The sequence below is a fragment of the Homo sapiens genome, chromosome X (genome assembly GCF_000001405.40).
Source record: "Homo sapiens chromosome X, GRCh38.p14 Primary Assembly".
Lineage (NCBI taxonomy): Eukaryota > Metazoa > Chordata > Mammalia > Primates > Hominidae > Homo > Homo sapiens.
In genome coordinates this window covers 50,187,338-50,202,354 of record NC_000023.11, presented here as the reverse complement: position 1 = coordinate 50,202,354, position 15,017 = coordinate 50,187,338, and the positions used below count along the sequence as shown (strand labels likewise).

The window sequence follows — 15,017 nt, the reverse complement described above, 5'->3', positions numbered from 1 at the left end:
CCTGCCCCCCAATACATACACACACTAAGAGACTTGAACAAACACCAGCGTAGTTTCTATCAGCTCAAGGCCATTTCCCTAGGATGACAATCTCAGCCCTTTTAAAATGCCTTCCTGAGACAGTTCAAAGCTGCCAAAAGGCCATTTCCCTAGTATGACAATCCTAGCCCCCCTTAAAATGCCTTCCTGAGACAGTTCATTGCTGCCAAAAGAATTTACTGTTTGTTCAGGCCAAAACCTGACTACAGGCCCTGACTCCCTTCCTTACAGCATGTACTTTAGAAAACTTGCAATTGTAAATTCTTTCTCTCTTCTTTTAAGATGTATCTTCTACAACCCAGGACTGTCTTTCTCAACAACCTGGAAGCCATCCCTTTGTAATGTAATGATCAAGAAAAATAGGGTCCATGTCTCCCTGTCTCTATGGGAAGGTAGGAGCTTAGCTTTCTTTTCTTTTCTTTTTTTGATTTTACTTTCTTTCATTTCTTTCTTTATAGTTCTTAATTATGTTTTTCTTTATAAACCTGACATTGTGAACATAGGGAACCTAACTTTAATAAGCACCCATTAGCAAACACAGATGCCCCAATACATTGACCAAGCTCACCCCCACTCAATGTCCTTCGGTACTTTTCCTTAGCACACCCTGCCTTTTGTTTCAGTGGAGTTGAGATCTGTTCATCAGAAGTCTCTCTCCTCTACTGCAGTGGCCTGAATAAAATCTGTCTTGCCGCCTCTAACAAATTCCAGGCTCTGTTTCTGTTTGACACCATGAGCTAACAGGATCAAAATAATATAGCGGAGTTAGAGATGCAATCTCAGGGGCAACAGGAAAAAGAATAAATGGAGGTAGAACCAAGAATATGGAACTCTTTTAGGGGATCATCTCAACTGATTGTTAATTCAGATGCATTTATTTACATGCATGCAGTATTAAAGTGGAGACATGGAGAAAAGACAAGGAAAGATGAGACTTGGGCAGAGTGAGAGACATTTGGTTGTGGGATAATATTTCCAAACTGGGGCTAAACTCAGTAAGATGAGATGAAGGCATCTCAAAGTGTAATGGATAAATCTCTAACACATACTGCAGCCAACAAACCAGCACTGGCCAGATTGAAAAGATTAAGTGGAGCTTAAGTCTTTTCATGGCCTAGGGAGTCTGTAAAAGACAGACCCTGTCTCAACTAGATCAGCCTTTCTCTGGACAACTTATTTCTCATAGGGAAGGTCAGAGCCTGCTAGACCACTTAGAGCACACAGAATCCTTAGAGCCCTCCATCTTTGTGCTGTCACTGTTCTCTATAGAAACGGTGATGTCAAGAAGAGGTAACTCTGGTACCAGCTGGCAGTCAAGGCTGTAGGAGGGCATGGAGAGTTGAAGAAAAAAGCAGTATCTTGAGGCAGACTGGAAGAGTCATCACAGCATCCAAATCAACAAGAAAACATCATTCCAGGGTCCTACATGATGGCGTACTCTGATACTACAATGGTAGGGACATCTGACTTCTTTTTGACTAGCTAAGGGGGCATCTTAATGGTGAGGTGAAACTACAGAAGCTGCTGAGGCAGCCTCCAAGTTTCTATTTTCATACTTTTATTTGGGATACCCAGAAAAGATTTTGATCAACATTTCTCTGTTTCTACGTAAATCTAAAGATCTCTTGCAATATAACTCTGATTCTCTAGTAGGGGTATGATTAGATTGTTCTGGAGGTCTCGCAGGAAATGAAAAGAGAAGGGATATCTTGATGGACTGTGAGCCAGAGAAAATGTGAGAAAAATGGTGTGTACCCTCATAGAGATAACAGAAAAAGTTTGTCGCACCACAGGCAGCCTGATGTGCTTTTGATGGGAATAGGTTTCTGAGTTTGCCAACATGCCCACCTTTGCTTAGGTTGTGACAGTTCAGGCATTGTGACCCAACAAACTCTGTTGCCACACCCCAGGGTCAGAGGCAGCAGGGGAAAGCCTGGCCCCTCAGTCTGGTCCAACAGCTGACAGGGGTGGCAGCCAACTGCAGGTGCCCAAGAACTTGGCACTTCTCAGTTCCATCTAAAGGGGCACATCTCCCTTCTGGGTGTCACGTTTTCAGCCAAACATCTAAAAGAACTTCATCATCAAGGTAATGAGTTCATAAATTTTATTTTTCACAGTTCTTTTGGACTTGGACTTAGGCTGTTTCTGAATCACATGAGGGACTCTATGCCTCCACCTCTTTTTTTACTAGGCTAGTGTTCCCTATGTAGCTCTTGGAAAAAAAGAAACTCCCTCTTCAGAGTGAGTCTTTTCCTATAACTTTTTCAAGGTTTCACAGAGATTCCTGAAGGAAGAGTTCAAAAAGATCTTGGTTGGAGGCAGGGATGGTAAAGAGCAGGAATGTAGTATTATCATGTGAAAGGATAGCCATTAGAGAATAGCTATTATTAATATGCTGTAGGGGAATAGAGAAGGGGTGGAAGGAAAGAAGGAGGGAGAAAGAGAAGGGGAGGGAGGGGGAGGGAAGAGGGAGAAAGGGGAGGGGGAGAAAGGGGGAGGGAATGGAAAGGGGAGGGAGGGAGGGGAGTGGGGAGAGAGGGGAGGGGAAGGGCAGAAGGGAGAGCGGGAGTGGGGAGGGTGGGAGGGGGAATTCAATAGCCCTCTAATACTTGGCAAAAAGGATTTCTCTTGTTAAAATTTAAAAAGAAATCAAATTCAAGCCCCAGATACCAAAAACAAGTCTACTGAGCTCTTAACTGTGTGTTCTAAGCATAAATCTCAGGTCTTACGTAGCAAAAATCAGTCACTGGCTTTTGTCATTTCCTTTTTACTTTTAGTTCCAGACTGGGTTGGGAGGTGGTGGCAGGGGGTGATGGTGGAAGGAAGTTGGCAGAGATTATTTTTTCTTTCTAAAATAAATTAAACTTGATCCTATTGGATCAGGGTCTGGTCTTCCCTCAGATTTCTGTCTCTCGGTGTTATATTTATGGTTATTAGACTGGGTTTTCTCAGCATTCAAAATCTTGTTCTATATATTGAAATTGTATATGTTGTTTTAATAAAAGGGCTATTTATTTACTGCTATTGACTTTAGTATTTTCCAATGGCTCTGAGTGATGTGTTATAGCTATTTATCTAATTTCACTTTCTTTAGTGTAATGGGAAAGACTGGTTGAACTGGAGTTAGCTAGAATTAAGTTAGAGGGGGTAACGTGAGCTGGAGTTTTTTGAAGGTACTCGAGGGGGTAAAGAAATGTGGAGATCAGAGACATTTAGTTAGTAGAGTTGGGTAGAAGTAAATCACTAAATGTAATCCCCAAAGTCACTAGATTTCCTTTTAAATTTGATTCCCAGGTCATCATACTCTCATGATTCCAAATACTTGGTGTGGGGAGTCTAAATTAAAGGAGACTATGGATTTTGCTAAAAGATAATGATCCTAAGCATCAAGTTCAAACATCTCAATGTGTCCCCCACTGCTCACCCCACCAGTTCCTAGCCTAAACCTATATATGAAACACAGAAATGGATTTCAGAACCCCTCCAGAGATTCTTATCCAAATTGACCCGGTTTCCAAAAACCATATATAAGCATTTCAGCTTTCTTTTCTTTCTCTTTCCAGATGTCTGATGATATTGACTGGTTACGCAGCCACAGGGGTGTGTGCAAGGTAGATCTCTACAACCCAGAAGGACAGCAAGATCAGGACCGGAAAGTGGTAAGATAAAAAATGACTCATGCCGAGGAGTAGGAAAAATTGGCATATGGGTATAGATATCCTGGGGCCCAAGATAAACTAATGGACGATGATACCCTGACTTCTCCAAGCAACCAAGCTCAACAAGGTCTGTCAGGGGCCAGCATGCTCATACATCACACAGAGATAAAAATCAAGGGAGGGGCAGGGTGTGGTGTGATGTAAAGGACCTGGGGAGGGGAGGCTGGGGAGGAGCCTGAGGGAGGAGTGGTGGTTGCCTGGCAACCAGCCTCTATTAGTTAAGACCTCTTAAGTCATAATAATATTGCCTAGCTAACAATGTTACCCTAGGACCCCTCAGGAGGGCAAAATGCTTCATGGTCTGTTTCCCAAACTTCAAGTAATTCACAGGGCTTCACAGTCTTCAATCATGTTCAAATGTCACGCATACTATTATTTAATTAATATGTATTTTTACAATGTTTTAAAAATTGACTTACATTTTAAAAATTACAATCATGCTAAGAAATATTATCCATAATATCCCAGGTTTGATGTTCTAGTATGTATTCTCCCTAATGCACAATAAAATTCACCTATTAAATGCAGAAATATTTATCCATACACTACTTAAAATATTCTATATTATTGATAATAAAATAAATTTTGAGAAACACTAGTGTAGTAGCAAGTGCTCTAAACTGGAAGCCAGGAAAATTGAGTTCTAATACAAGCTCCACATTTAAGTTTGTGTCAGTTGGGCAAGCCATTTCTCTTCACAGTTTTCTCAATTAATACATGTGGATATTGTACCTCAGGCCTCACTCTGACAGGAGGTTGGTATTCTCATTTAAGAAATGTGCTAATGCTAAGATTCTGTCTGCCTAACAATAATCACAGTATTAACATTTATTGGGTACTCACTATGTGCCAGGCAATCTGCTTTTACATGCTTTCCATATAGTATCTCAGTTAATCCTCACAAGAACCCTCTGAGGTAGGTGCTATTATCATCTCCAAGAAAGAGAAATTATGCCCCTTTCTCTAGAGTTTTTCTAAATTCACCCTTCTAATTTGATGCAGATATGCTTTGTCGATGTGTCCACCCTGAATGTAGAAGATAAAGATTACAAGGTGCGTATTCTCTGCTCAGAGTCAGAATCGGTGGGAAGCTGCTGAGAAGGGTTATCAGTGAAGTATGAAGAATGGAAAATGTTGGGGGGAGAGAGGGGAAAGGAGGAGGGGACTCAGGGGGAAAGCCAGCATTCTCATGAGCCCAAGATCCCTGGTTCTGAATTTACCGTCACTCTTGATATCAAGTCTCATTTTAGAAGCCACTTAAGTTGCTGGTAGGACTGAAAGAGATAAAACATGGAAGATAGCATGTCAGAAAAGTTGTTTTTTATTTTTTTATTTAAAAAAAAAAACCCATCCAAAGGGTGATGAATATAGTTCTTGAGACTGGTGGCTTTGTGAGCATCTTCAGAGTGGGGAGTAGTAATTTGTGGAGGGAACTTCGTCTCATTCTTCAAAGATTAGCTAGCCTCACAAGCCTACCTCTCCTGCAGAAAGAAAAAAGATAAAAGAAGTCATAACATTCATGATTTGAAGTCATAGCCTAGGGGGGCAGCTTGGAGAAATATCCAAAAGTAACTGTTTAAGAATCTCACCCTTTAATTCCATAGGATGCTGCTAGTTCCAGCTCAGAAGGCAACTTAAACCTGGGAAGTCTGGAAGAAAAAGAGATTATCGTGATCAAGGACACTGAGAAGAAAGACCAGTCTAAGGTACACTTAACCTCTGAGATCCCACCACTTCTAATTCTCAGAGCTCAATGATGAGTCTGAGGACTCTGGATCAGACATGGTAAGACACTTACTGTCAAACAGGCTCATCAATTTGAATACTATGACATTCTAGAGAACACAGGCGTAAGTTCAAGACCACAGTAAGTTCAACACCCAGGTACTTAATAATGGCACTAATCACAGAGGCTCAGAATGCCCTCTCCTGATTTCCAGCTACCCATCCAATCATAATCACACAAGACTATTTGTAATGTTCTTCGCTGGCTGGTAATGGACTTGTGTGCCCCACATTGCCCAGCATCCAGCAGGGAAGAAAGAGGGGTATGGAGCAGAGACAATCCATAACCACCAAGAATTTGAGTGCCTCATCCTTACCCTGTTGTCTAAGAGATTACCTAGGCTGTTGAGTAGCTTAAAGTTAGAAGCAATTAAACTTGCATGCCACTGTGACATACAAACTCCTTTTGGTTTTGTTTAAGTATCCAAAATTATATCTGTTAGGGTCCTGGTTTTGGGAGGGCACTGGAGCATACAACAAGTCACCCTCTCATACCTACAAGCCTGGAGTGGCTGGTAATAGGGCAGGATATTTGACTTTAATGCAGAGGAATCAAATGTTTCTTGTTCTGTGTCTCCAGGCTCATATTATAACCAAAACATTATTTCTGACCCCAGACTCCAGAAAGGAGTGGCCCCCAAGGAAGGAAAAACAAGTTTACATTACAGTATCCAAAGAGTTTTCAGTTTACTTGGGTATGGCCAACTCAATTTTGGAGTCTTAAGAAAGGGATAAATTATACCTGGCATTAATTTTTGAAAAAGCAGCCCATGTTTCCTACATACAATGCAGATCTGCTTGATTGTAACTTAAGCTCATTTGCAAAAAGTTGACTTTATCATGACCTCACATTTCCAGAAATTCAGTGAAAAGAGAGGAGATGAAGCAATAGAAGGAGCAGAGGGCTTGGTAGTTAGTGTTGGGTGGAATATGTGTATATAGTACATATACACATATCTGGACATGGGCATACACAGTCACAGGCATAGGTATACACATATAAATTTATACAAAATGATACACACATCAATGTATACATTTATATACATTTACAAAAAACAATTTATACAAGCAATTATAAATACATGCTTGGCTACATTTGATATTGACATACACAAGCATTGATGTAGCAAACTTAAACTGATCATAAACAATGACACACATATACAAAGATATACAAAGTCATACAGAGTCAGATGCAGTGACATGCCCACACAGGACACACATAAACACCCATATTACACAATGCATGAACATACATTCACACACATTACATGCATAAGACTTGATCAAAACATAGTGACCATACAGACTCAGTTATTGGTATACACACTTATAAATATACATATGTATGCAAAGACATATATGGTCATATACAGTCATGCTGACATACACACAAACTTACACTAAGCGACACATATTTACTAACACACTTGTTTGTTCGTATTGATACATACACTGTTGACACAAATGCAATAACACACCTACTCACACACATACTCAAATACCAGGGTATGTACAACATTGACATACACATGGTCAAATATTGACATAACATATAAATATAACATAAATTTATACCCAATTTATGAACATACATAGTCATTATACAATCACCTGTTTACACATATTCATGTTTTAACATACATATACATTAATATATTAAAATTGTATCTATTATATTAATGAATGTGTATGTTAATATGTGAATTTATGCTTTAACATACATAAATGCATTTATAGCTGCATGATACATACTAGTGAATTTATATTACACACATATATGCAGATTACTGAAATTGACACTTGCTCATTTACATATTCAGAGACACACTGACATAGACACTCATATTTTGACATTCACACATGTACAAATATGCATACTAACATGCACATGTCAGCCTATACAGTAGACATATACAATAGGTAATGATGTCAACACATTATTACACATGCTTAGACATAGTCACACATATGCACACACACACAGAAGCACATTTTCACACACTAACAATACAGAATGGCACATTCTCACGTCTTTGAGATGTTCACACATGTGAACTGCTATATTTCCATGCATATATACACACACAACAGACACACTGACACATTTTTGACACATTGAGATACAACATATTCATATGAGTTGGCAGACATATATTGATAACCCTTCTATAAAGTATACACATGTATATACTTTGAACTTTTGTTGCTGCCACTTCTGCTTGAATGTGTACTAATGGATATAACTGGATGTTACGTTCCCATACAAACTCCAAAAGGTCAAATCCCTAATCTGATACATCTTCTAAATAAAATAAGGGAAAAAAGTAGCCTACCCAAACTCTTATGGATAGGTCTTCTTCTTTTTTTAGACAGAGGGATCTGTATGCCTTTTCAAACAAGCTCCCTCTGATCCTGTAAGTGTCCTCAACTGGCTTCTCAGTGATCTCCAGAAGTATGCCTTGGGTTTCCAACATGCACTGAGCCCCTCAACCTCTACCTGTAAACATAAAGTAGGAGACACAGAGGGCGAATATCACAGAGCATCCTCTGAGAACTGCTACAGTGTCTATGCCGATCAAGTGAACATAGATTATTTGATGAACAGACCTCAAAACCTACGTCTAGAAATGACAGCAGCTAAAAACACCAACAATAATCAAAGTCCTTCAGCTCCTCCAGCCAAACCTCCTAGCACTCAGAGAGCAGTCATTTCCCCTGATGGAGAATGTTCTATAGATGACCTTTCCTTCTACGTCAACCGACTATCTTCTCTGGTAATCCAGATGGCCCATAAGGAAATCAAGGAGAAGTTGGAAGGTAAAAGCAAATGCCTTCATCATTCAATCTGTCCATCCCCTGGGAACAAAGAGAGAATCAGTCCCCGAACTCCTGCGAGCAAGATTGCTTCTGAAATGGCCTATGAAGCTGTGGAACTGACAGCTGCAGAAATGCGTGGCACTGGAGAGGAGTCCAGGGAAGGTGGCCAGAAAAGCTTTCTATATAGCGAATTATCCAACAAGAGCAAAAGTGGAGACAAACAGATGTCCCAGAGAGAGAGCAAAGAATTTGCAGATTCCATCAGCAAGGGGCTCATGGTTTATGCAAATCAGGTGGCATCTGACATGATGGTCTCTCTCATGAAGACCTTGAAAGTGCACAGCTCTGGGAAGCCAATTCCAGCATCTGTGGTCCTGAAGAGGGTGTTGCTAAGGCACACCAAGGAGATTGTGTCCGATTTGATTGATTCTTGCATGAAGAACCTGCATAATATTACTGGGGTCCTGATGACTGACTCAGACTTTGTCTCAGCTGTCAAGAGAAATCTGTTCAACCAGTGGAAACAAAATGCTACAGACATCATGGAGGCCATGCTGAAGCGCTTGGTCAGTGCCCTTATAGGTGAGGAGAAGGAGACTAAGTCTCAGAGTCTGTCATATGCATCTTTAAAAGCTGGGTCCCATGATCCCAAATGCAGGAATCAGAGTCTTGAATTCTCCACCATGAAAGCTGAAATGAAAGAGAGGGACAAAGGCAAAATGAAATCAGACCCATGCAAGTCACTGACTAGTGCTGAGAAAGTCGGTGAACACATTCTCAAAGAGGGCCTAACCATCTGGAACCAAAAGCAAGGAAACTCATGCAAGGTGGCTACCAAAGCATGCAGCAATAAAGATGAGAAAGGAGAAAAGATCAATGCTTCCACAGATTCACTGGCCAAGGACCTGATTGTCTCTGCCCTTAAGCTGATCCAGTACCATCTGACCCAGCAGACTAAGGGCAAAGATACATGTGAAGAAGACTGTCCTGGTTCCACCATGGGCTATATGGCTCAGAGTACTCAATATGAAAAGTGTGGAGGTGGCCAAAGTGCCAAAGCACTTTCAGTGAAACAACTAGAATCTCACAGAGCCCCTGGACCATCCACCTGTCAAAAGGAGAACCAACACCTGGACTCCCAGAAAATGGATATGTCAAACATCGTTCTAATGCTGATTCAGAAACTGCTTAATGAGAACCCCTTCAAATGTGAGGATCCATGCGAAGGTGAGAACAAGTGTTCTGAGCCCAGGGCAAGCAAAGCAGCTTCCATGTCCAACAGATCTGACAAAGCGGAAGAACAATGCCAGGAGCATCAAGAACTTGACTGTACCAGTGGGATGAAGCAAGCGAACGGGCAATTTATAGATAAACTAGTAGAATCTGTGATGAAGCTCTGCCTTATCATGGCTAAGTATAGCAACGATGGGGCAGCCCTTGCTGAGTTGGAAGAACAAGCAGCCTCGGCAAATAAGCCCAATTTCAGGGGCACCAGATGCATTCACAGTGGTGCAATGCCACAGAACTATCAAGACTCTCTTGGACATGAAGTAATTGTCAATAATCAGTGCTCTACAAATAGCTTGCAGAAGCAGCTCCAGGCTGTCCTGCAGTGGATTGCAGCCTCCCAGTTTAACGTGCCCATGCTCTACTTCATGGGAGATAAGGATGGACAACTGGAAAAGGTAAGTAATGCATTAAGGCACAAGAAGAAAGTTGGAATGGGCAGAGGCAGGGAGGCAGCATTGTACTTAGAGCCCAAGATCATTCGAGTTTCAAGTCTATTCTTTACCGTGTGCTTCATGAATTACTTTCACCTCATAAAAAGACACAAAAACGGTGAACCACTAGCTAAGTGGACACCTCAAAGCCTGTGCATTTCCACCAAGAGGAGGAGAGTGAGATTAACGCATTTCATCCGTGACCCTTTTGACAAACTATTTGATAAAACATTGGGGAATGATTAAGTCTTATGTTTTGAGTTTTAAGATCCCCCAAAGTACTCTAGAGAGGAGGGAACAAAAAAGGAAAATGGAGTTCTTCCCTACCTCTTGAGGTGTTGGAAGTATCATGGACTAATTTTGTGTTTGACCTACCAGAAACAGTTTGAAACTTGTCTCTTACTATTTTCCCTATGCTCCTCCCCCAAACTCATGGGTCCTGCAAGTGCCCTGAGAGTCCTGTCTCCTTAAATTTTATGCCCTAGGTGCCTCACTTGCCTGACCCTAGTCCTGGCCCTGCTCCTCAGATTCCATGGAGGCCAGCATTCATACATTCATATAGATGCACATTCTCTCTCTGTCTCTCTCTCTCTCTCTTTCTCTCTCTCACACACACACACACACACACACACACACACACACACACACCTATCTGACAGCTGAGTTTCCTGCATTAGATGGATTCCAGAAACATCAAATACTTAACAAAGTTATTTTCAGTCCAGGAGCCAAGCTCAGACAATCCTCCCTACTCCAAGTCTCATACTTTTTTAGGGAGGTGGGGGAATGGCAACCCCAAACCTTGACCTAGCAATCAGCACAGACTAACTGAAGGGTCCAGCATCTGGTGAAAAGTATTTAATGAACACAACTAATTTCAGAGTGTGTTTTTGAAGCTCAAAAAAGAAAGTATCTTTGGCATTTTGATCTATGTCATTAGAGAAGTTTCAAGGGAAAAGGAAAGATGTGTCAGCAGCCTCTAGTCCTAGATCTATGACATGCTGTACCCTAATCCTAGAATCATGGGCGGGAAGGTGGTGGGTGTGGGTGAGGAGGTTAGGGGTTGAGGGGGTTGGGTGGTAGAACTTCGTCCAGCAGGTCTTTCCTCCAAAAAGCATCACGCAACTCACACTAGCTCTGTTTTCCCCACAGCTTCCTCAGGTTTCAGCTAAAGCAGCAGAGAAGGGGTACAGTGTAGGAGGTCTTCTTCAAGAGGTCATGAAGTTTGCCAAGGAACGGCAACCAGATGAAGCTGTGGGAAAGGTGGCCAGGAAACAGTTGCTGGACTGGCTGCTCGCTAACCTGTGAGCTGATCCTTGACTCCTCTTCATCTTAGCCCCCCTAGCAGCATTCCATCCCAGCCAGAGCACCCCCACCATCAGGCCAGTCAACTGCACAATACACAACTGTATTTCCCAATACACTTGAGCAGTTGCCTGTGAATGTAAGAGGTGTCAACAAACTGGGAAATAAAATAAAAAAAAATAATAATAAATGTGTCATTGTTTTTTGATCAGCTATTTCCAAGACAAGAGAAGGGAATTGGCTCATTTTCCAGGAATGGTGATACAGTGTTGGAGTTGTATTCAGATCTCACCCTGGATTATTTTCTGAGCACCGAGGACACAGGGATATAATCCATGTCAAGGTCCCTAAGTAATCTGGTTTGTCCAAATAATCTCAGTTCACAGTCTATTTAGAGTTTTCCCACCTGTGGCCTTCCTATTTCTCCCTGAACTGCACAACTAACTTGATAATCCCCTTTCTAATCCCAAGGATACAGCTTTCTTGGTTTAGTTGAAGAAAGCGTATACCCATTACCCTGCCTTGCTACACACACATCCCTCAAAAGTGTTCACTGCACATAGCTAAATACTACCCAGAACTACAGTGGGATCTGATCCTCTCCTGTGTGTGAATAAAGCTTCCTTATAAGGAATTTCCTTCAGTTGATGAGATATCCTTGTCTTCTTCCAGTCTGAAGGAAAAATTTTCCAAGAACATAAACCTCCAAGATGGGTAAATTCCTTTGGGGCCCAATGTCCCAGTGTCTTCTCTGGGAATAACAGTAAGTTCCCAGATTTGTTCTATGTGTCCTGTAAGTCAATCACAGTGCTAGCATTCACTGCAAATCAGATCAAGACAGTGGTTTCAACCCTGCGGCCCTTGTTAGCTAGTTTACTGTGTGCTCTCATGGCACACTTTGGCACCCTTGAGGCGTTGCGGCTTAGTAGAACAAGCACAGGATGGGGTGTCCTTCTGGACTCAACAGTCAAAGCTTTGCCTCTTACTAGTCACATGGCCTTAGGCAATCCTGCAGACTGAGCCTGTTCATCTGTAAAATGTAGCTAAAAATTACCTTACATTGTTTACAGGTTAAACTAGAGGAATAGATGTGATGGTGTTTTGCACAGGGTGGATTTTGTTGCAAATGTAGATATGTGAATGATATGTGACTTTCAATGCCAGTCCTAACACAGGAGTGCCCTCTTGATACATTTCAGAACTGAAAGCATATCCTCTGAGTATGGGACCCAGAGAGACACATTTTGGGAGAAGTTAAGCACACAGGCAAACTTTGCCAACTTCTCCACGATGCCAGACCCAGTCAGATAGAAGAAGTAAAGGCAGGCTTCTTCAAAGCAGGATCTTTACAACTCTCCAGCCCGGCTGAAAGCTCATGGAATCTTTTTGAGTCTCACCCCACCCCATTAAAATCTTTGGAGTTGAGCCATCACAGATCCTTCTCTTTGCCCTTGAAGAAAATCCTTAATAAACAAATCTCGAGGCCAGGGCTACATTTCTAATGATTCAGTCCTCCCTGAGCACAGCTGGGTCCCATAGCAGTTTACTTCCTTGATTAACTTGGCTCTTACCTTGTTCCTGATTTTTATTATGAGGCAGCCTTGGGGATTCCTTGAAACGTGGAAATAGAGCAAAGGAAGTTACATGTTCTGTTAAATGAAAGGGGTTGGGGCAAGATGGTCTCTCAGGGCCTTTCCAGTTCTGACATTTGAGAATTATACGAACAAGTTTCTTTTCCATAATTTCTAAGGGAAACTTGTGTGGATGGAGTAAGTTCAGAGCGAGGAAACTTGATTTTTGCCAGAGCTAACTGACAGATTCCAGCAGAGAAAGGAATGCTTTGGGCCACAAGGGCCCTGTCAAGGGTCTGGAGGAGCTCAATAGCCCTTGGGGTTTATTTCCGGAGAATAAGACCCTGGCCTTTGACCTCTCTAAATGAAGAAGTAACCCCAGGCATCCCAATAGCAATGTGGCCGTGCTCAATGCCAGCAGCTGGAAATGGACAAGGACTTCTGCTGAGCTGAGAGTCTGGCATATAGTAAGAAAGAGGCGAAAGGAGCAGAAAAGGACAGCATGATTCTCTCCTGGCAGGCGGTACAATTGGCTTAATAACAGTTTCAGTCTCTCTGATATCAGGCTTCCATTTCAAAAGAAAATTATAAGCAAAACTTGTCTGGGAGGTTATTACAAGGCCAGAACTAGACTGGAATGAGGTGAGAGAGGTACTTGCCTCAGGGATCAAAAACTCCATAATCAAATAATATTTTAATAAATTAATGCCAAAAAACCGTGATGAACAAAATATCAAAAATTTTTATACACACGATCAGTAACAGTGCCATGCCAAGCCATAATGGAGCCTGAGGCAAAAGGAAAAATTAATTTGTAAGACTGATTTCATGGGAGTAATGTTAGAGAAACAGGAGCCTAGGAGAGCCAGGTGACACCATTTTAAAATCAATTCCATGTTAAAACTAATAAGGCACATTCCTTGCCAGTCACGGCCCATGGTCATAAGATGTTTATGGCTGAGGAAACAGCTTAATAATACCTGTAAGGATAAATGCCCACGACAGCAGAATGTTCAGATGTCCCAATATCGCATAACAATATATGCTTTTAAGTTGATTATAGTCATGCTTTGATGTGCTTACAAGCTAAAATGCCAAGAATAGTTTTCTTTACATCAGCAAAATAATAAATTGTCATGCTGTCAGCCCACCAGCATGTAGACATAACTTAGTTTTACATAGAAAATAAGACCACTATATAAGAAAACTTAAAGACAAGTCGTTCCTCCTCTTGCTTTCTGAGGACGCCCTACTCTGTAACTGAGTAGCAGCTGAGGATGCCCTACTCTGTAACTGAGTAGCAGCTGAGGACGCCCTACTCTGTAACTGAGTAGCAGTGTTCAATAAACTGTCTCTTCTCCCTGCACTCTACAACTTGCCTTGAATTCCTTCCTGCATTAGATCCAAGAACCCTCTCTTGGGGTCTGGATCAGGACCCCTTTTTCTGACAACAGTAACACTTTCTGGGAGATTGCCAAGGCAGCATTTAGAGAATGTGTTGCCCTTAAAGCCTATATCAGAATAAAAAAAGAAACAGTGACATCCTGCCTAAAGAAAGTAAAATAAAATCCAGGTTTAAACTAAAATCCAGTGTAAACTCAAATCCACGTTTGCCTCATGTCAAATAACAAATTAAAAGTTTAGAAAAGGGGAAATAAAATTTGGAACAAGGAAAAAGACCAAACAAGGAAAGCAAAGTTTTGCTTAAGTCTTAAGACATCAGAAATCAGAGATGGGGTGGGTGAGGGTGGGTGTTGCAGTGTTTTCTCTCTTGTTTAATATGATAAGAGTACACCCTTTCCCCCCCACCCCCCCAAAAATAAAAAATAAATAAATAAAAACTCATATGAGATTTATTCTGGGTAAAAACAGGAACTGCACAAGATTACCCGTGTTAAAGTTCTACCTTAAAACAATTCTAATAATGAAAGAAGAAAAATAAACAAAAAGTAGAAATATAGGAAAGAGGGAAAAAAATGCCGCTTTTGCAAATAGTATATTTGTACATCAGTGAAAATCAAATCCCCAAATACCAAAGGTAATGAAGGAGTTTT

At 41.4% G+C, this 15,017-nt stretch overlaps 1 protein-coding gene across 2 annotated transcripts; it reads left to right on the top strand.

The window, feature by feature from the left end:
• On the top strand, positions 1,348-11,578 carry AKAP4 (A-kinase anchoring protein 4). Of its 2 annotated transcripts, none has more exons than NM_003886.3 (6): positions 1,348-1,492; positions 3,603-3,698; positions 4,761-4,811; positions 5,363-5,464; positions 7,919-10,051; positions 11,240-11,578. In NM_003886.3, the coding sequence occupies exons 1-6, from the start codon at positions 1,466-1,468 to the stop codon at positions 11,393-11,395; spliced, it is 2,565 nt and encodes an 854-aa protein (NP_003877.2). In that variant the 5' UTR covers positions 1,348-1,465; the 3' UTR covers positions 11,396-11,578. The 2 variants fall into 2 exon arrangements, with proteins under 2 accessions (NP_003877.2, NP_647450.1); NM_139289.2 differs by lacking the exon at positions 1,348-1,492 and adding an exon at positions 1,983-2,125.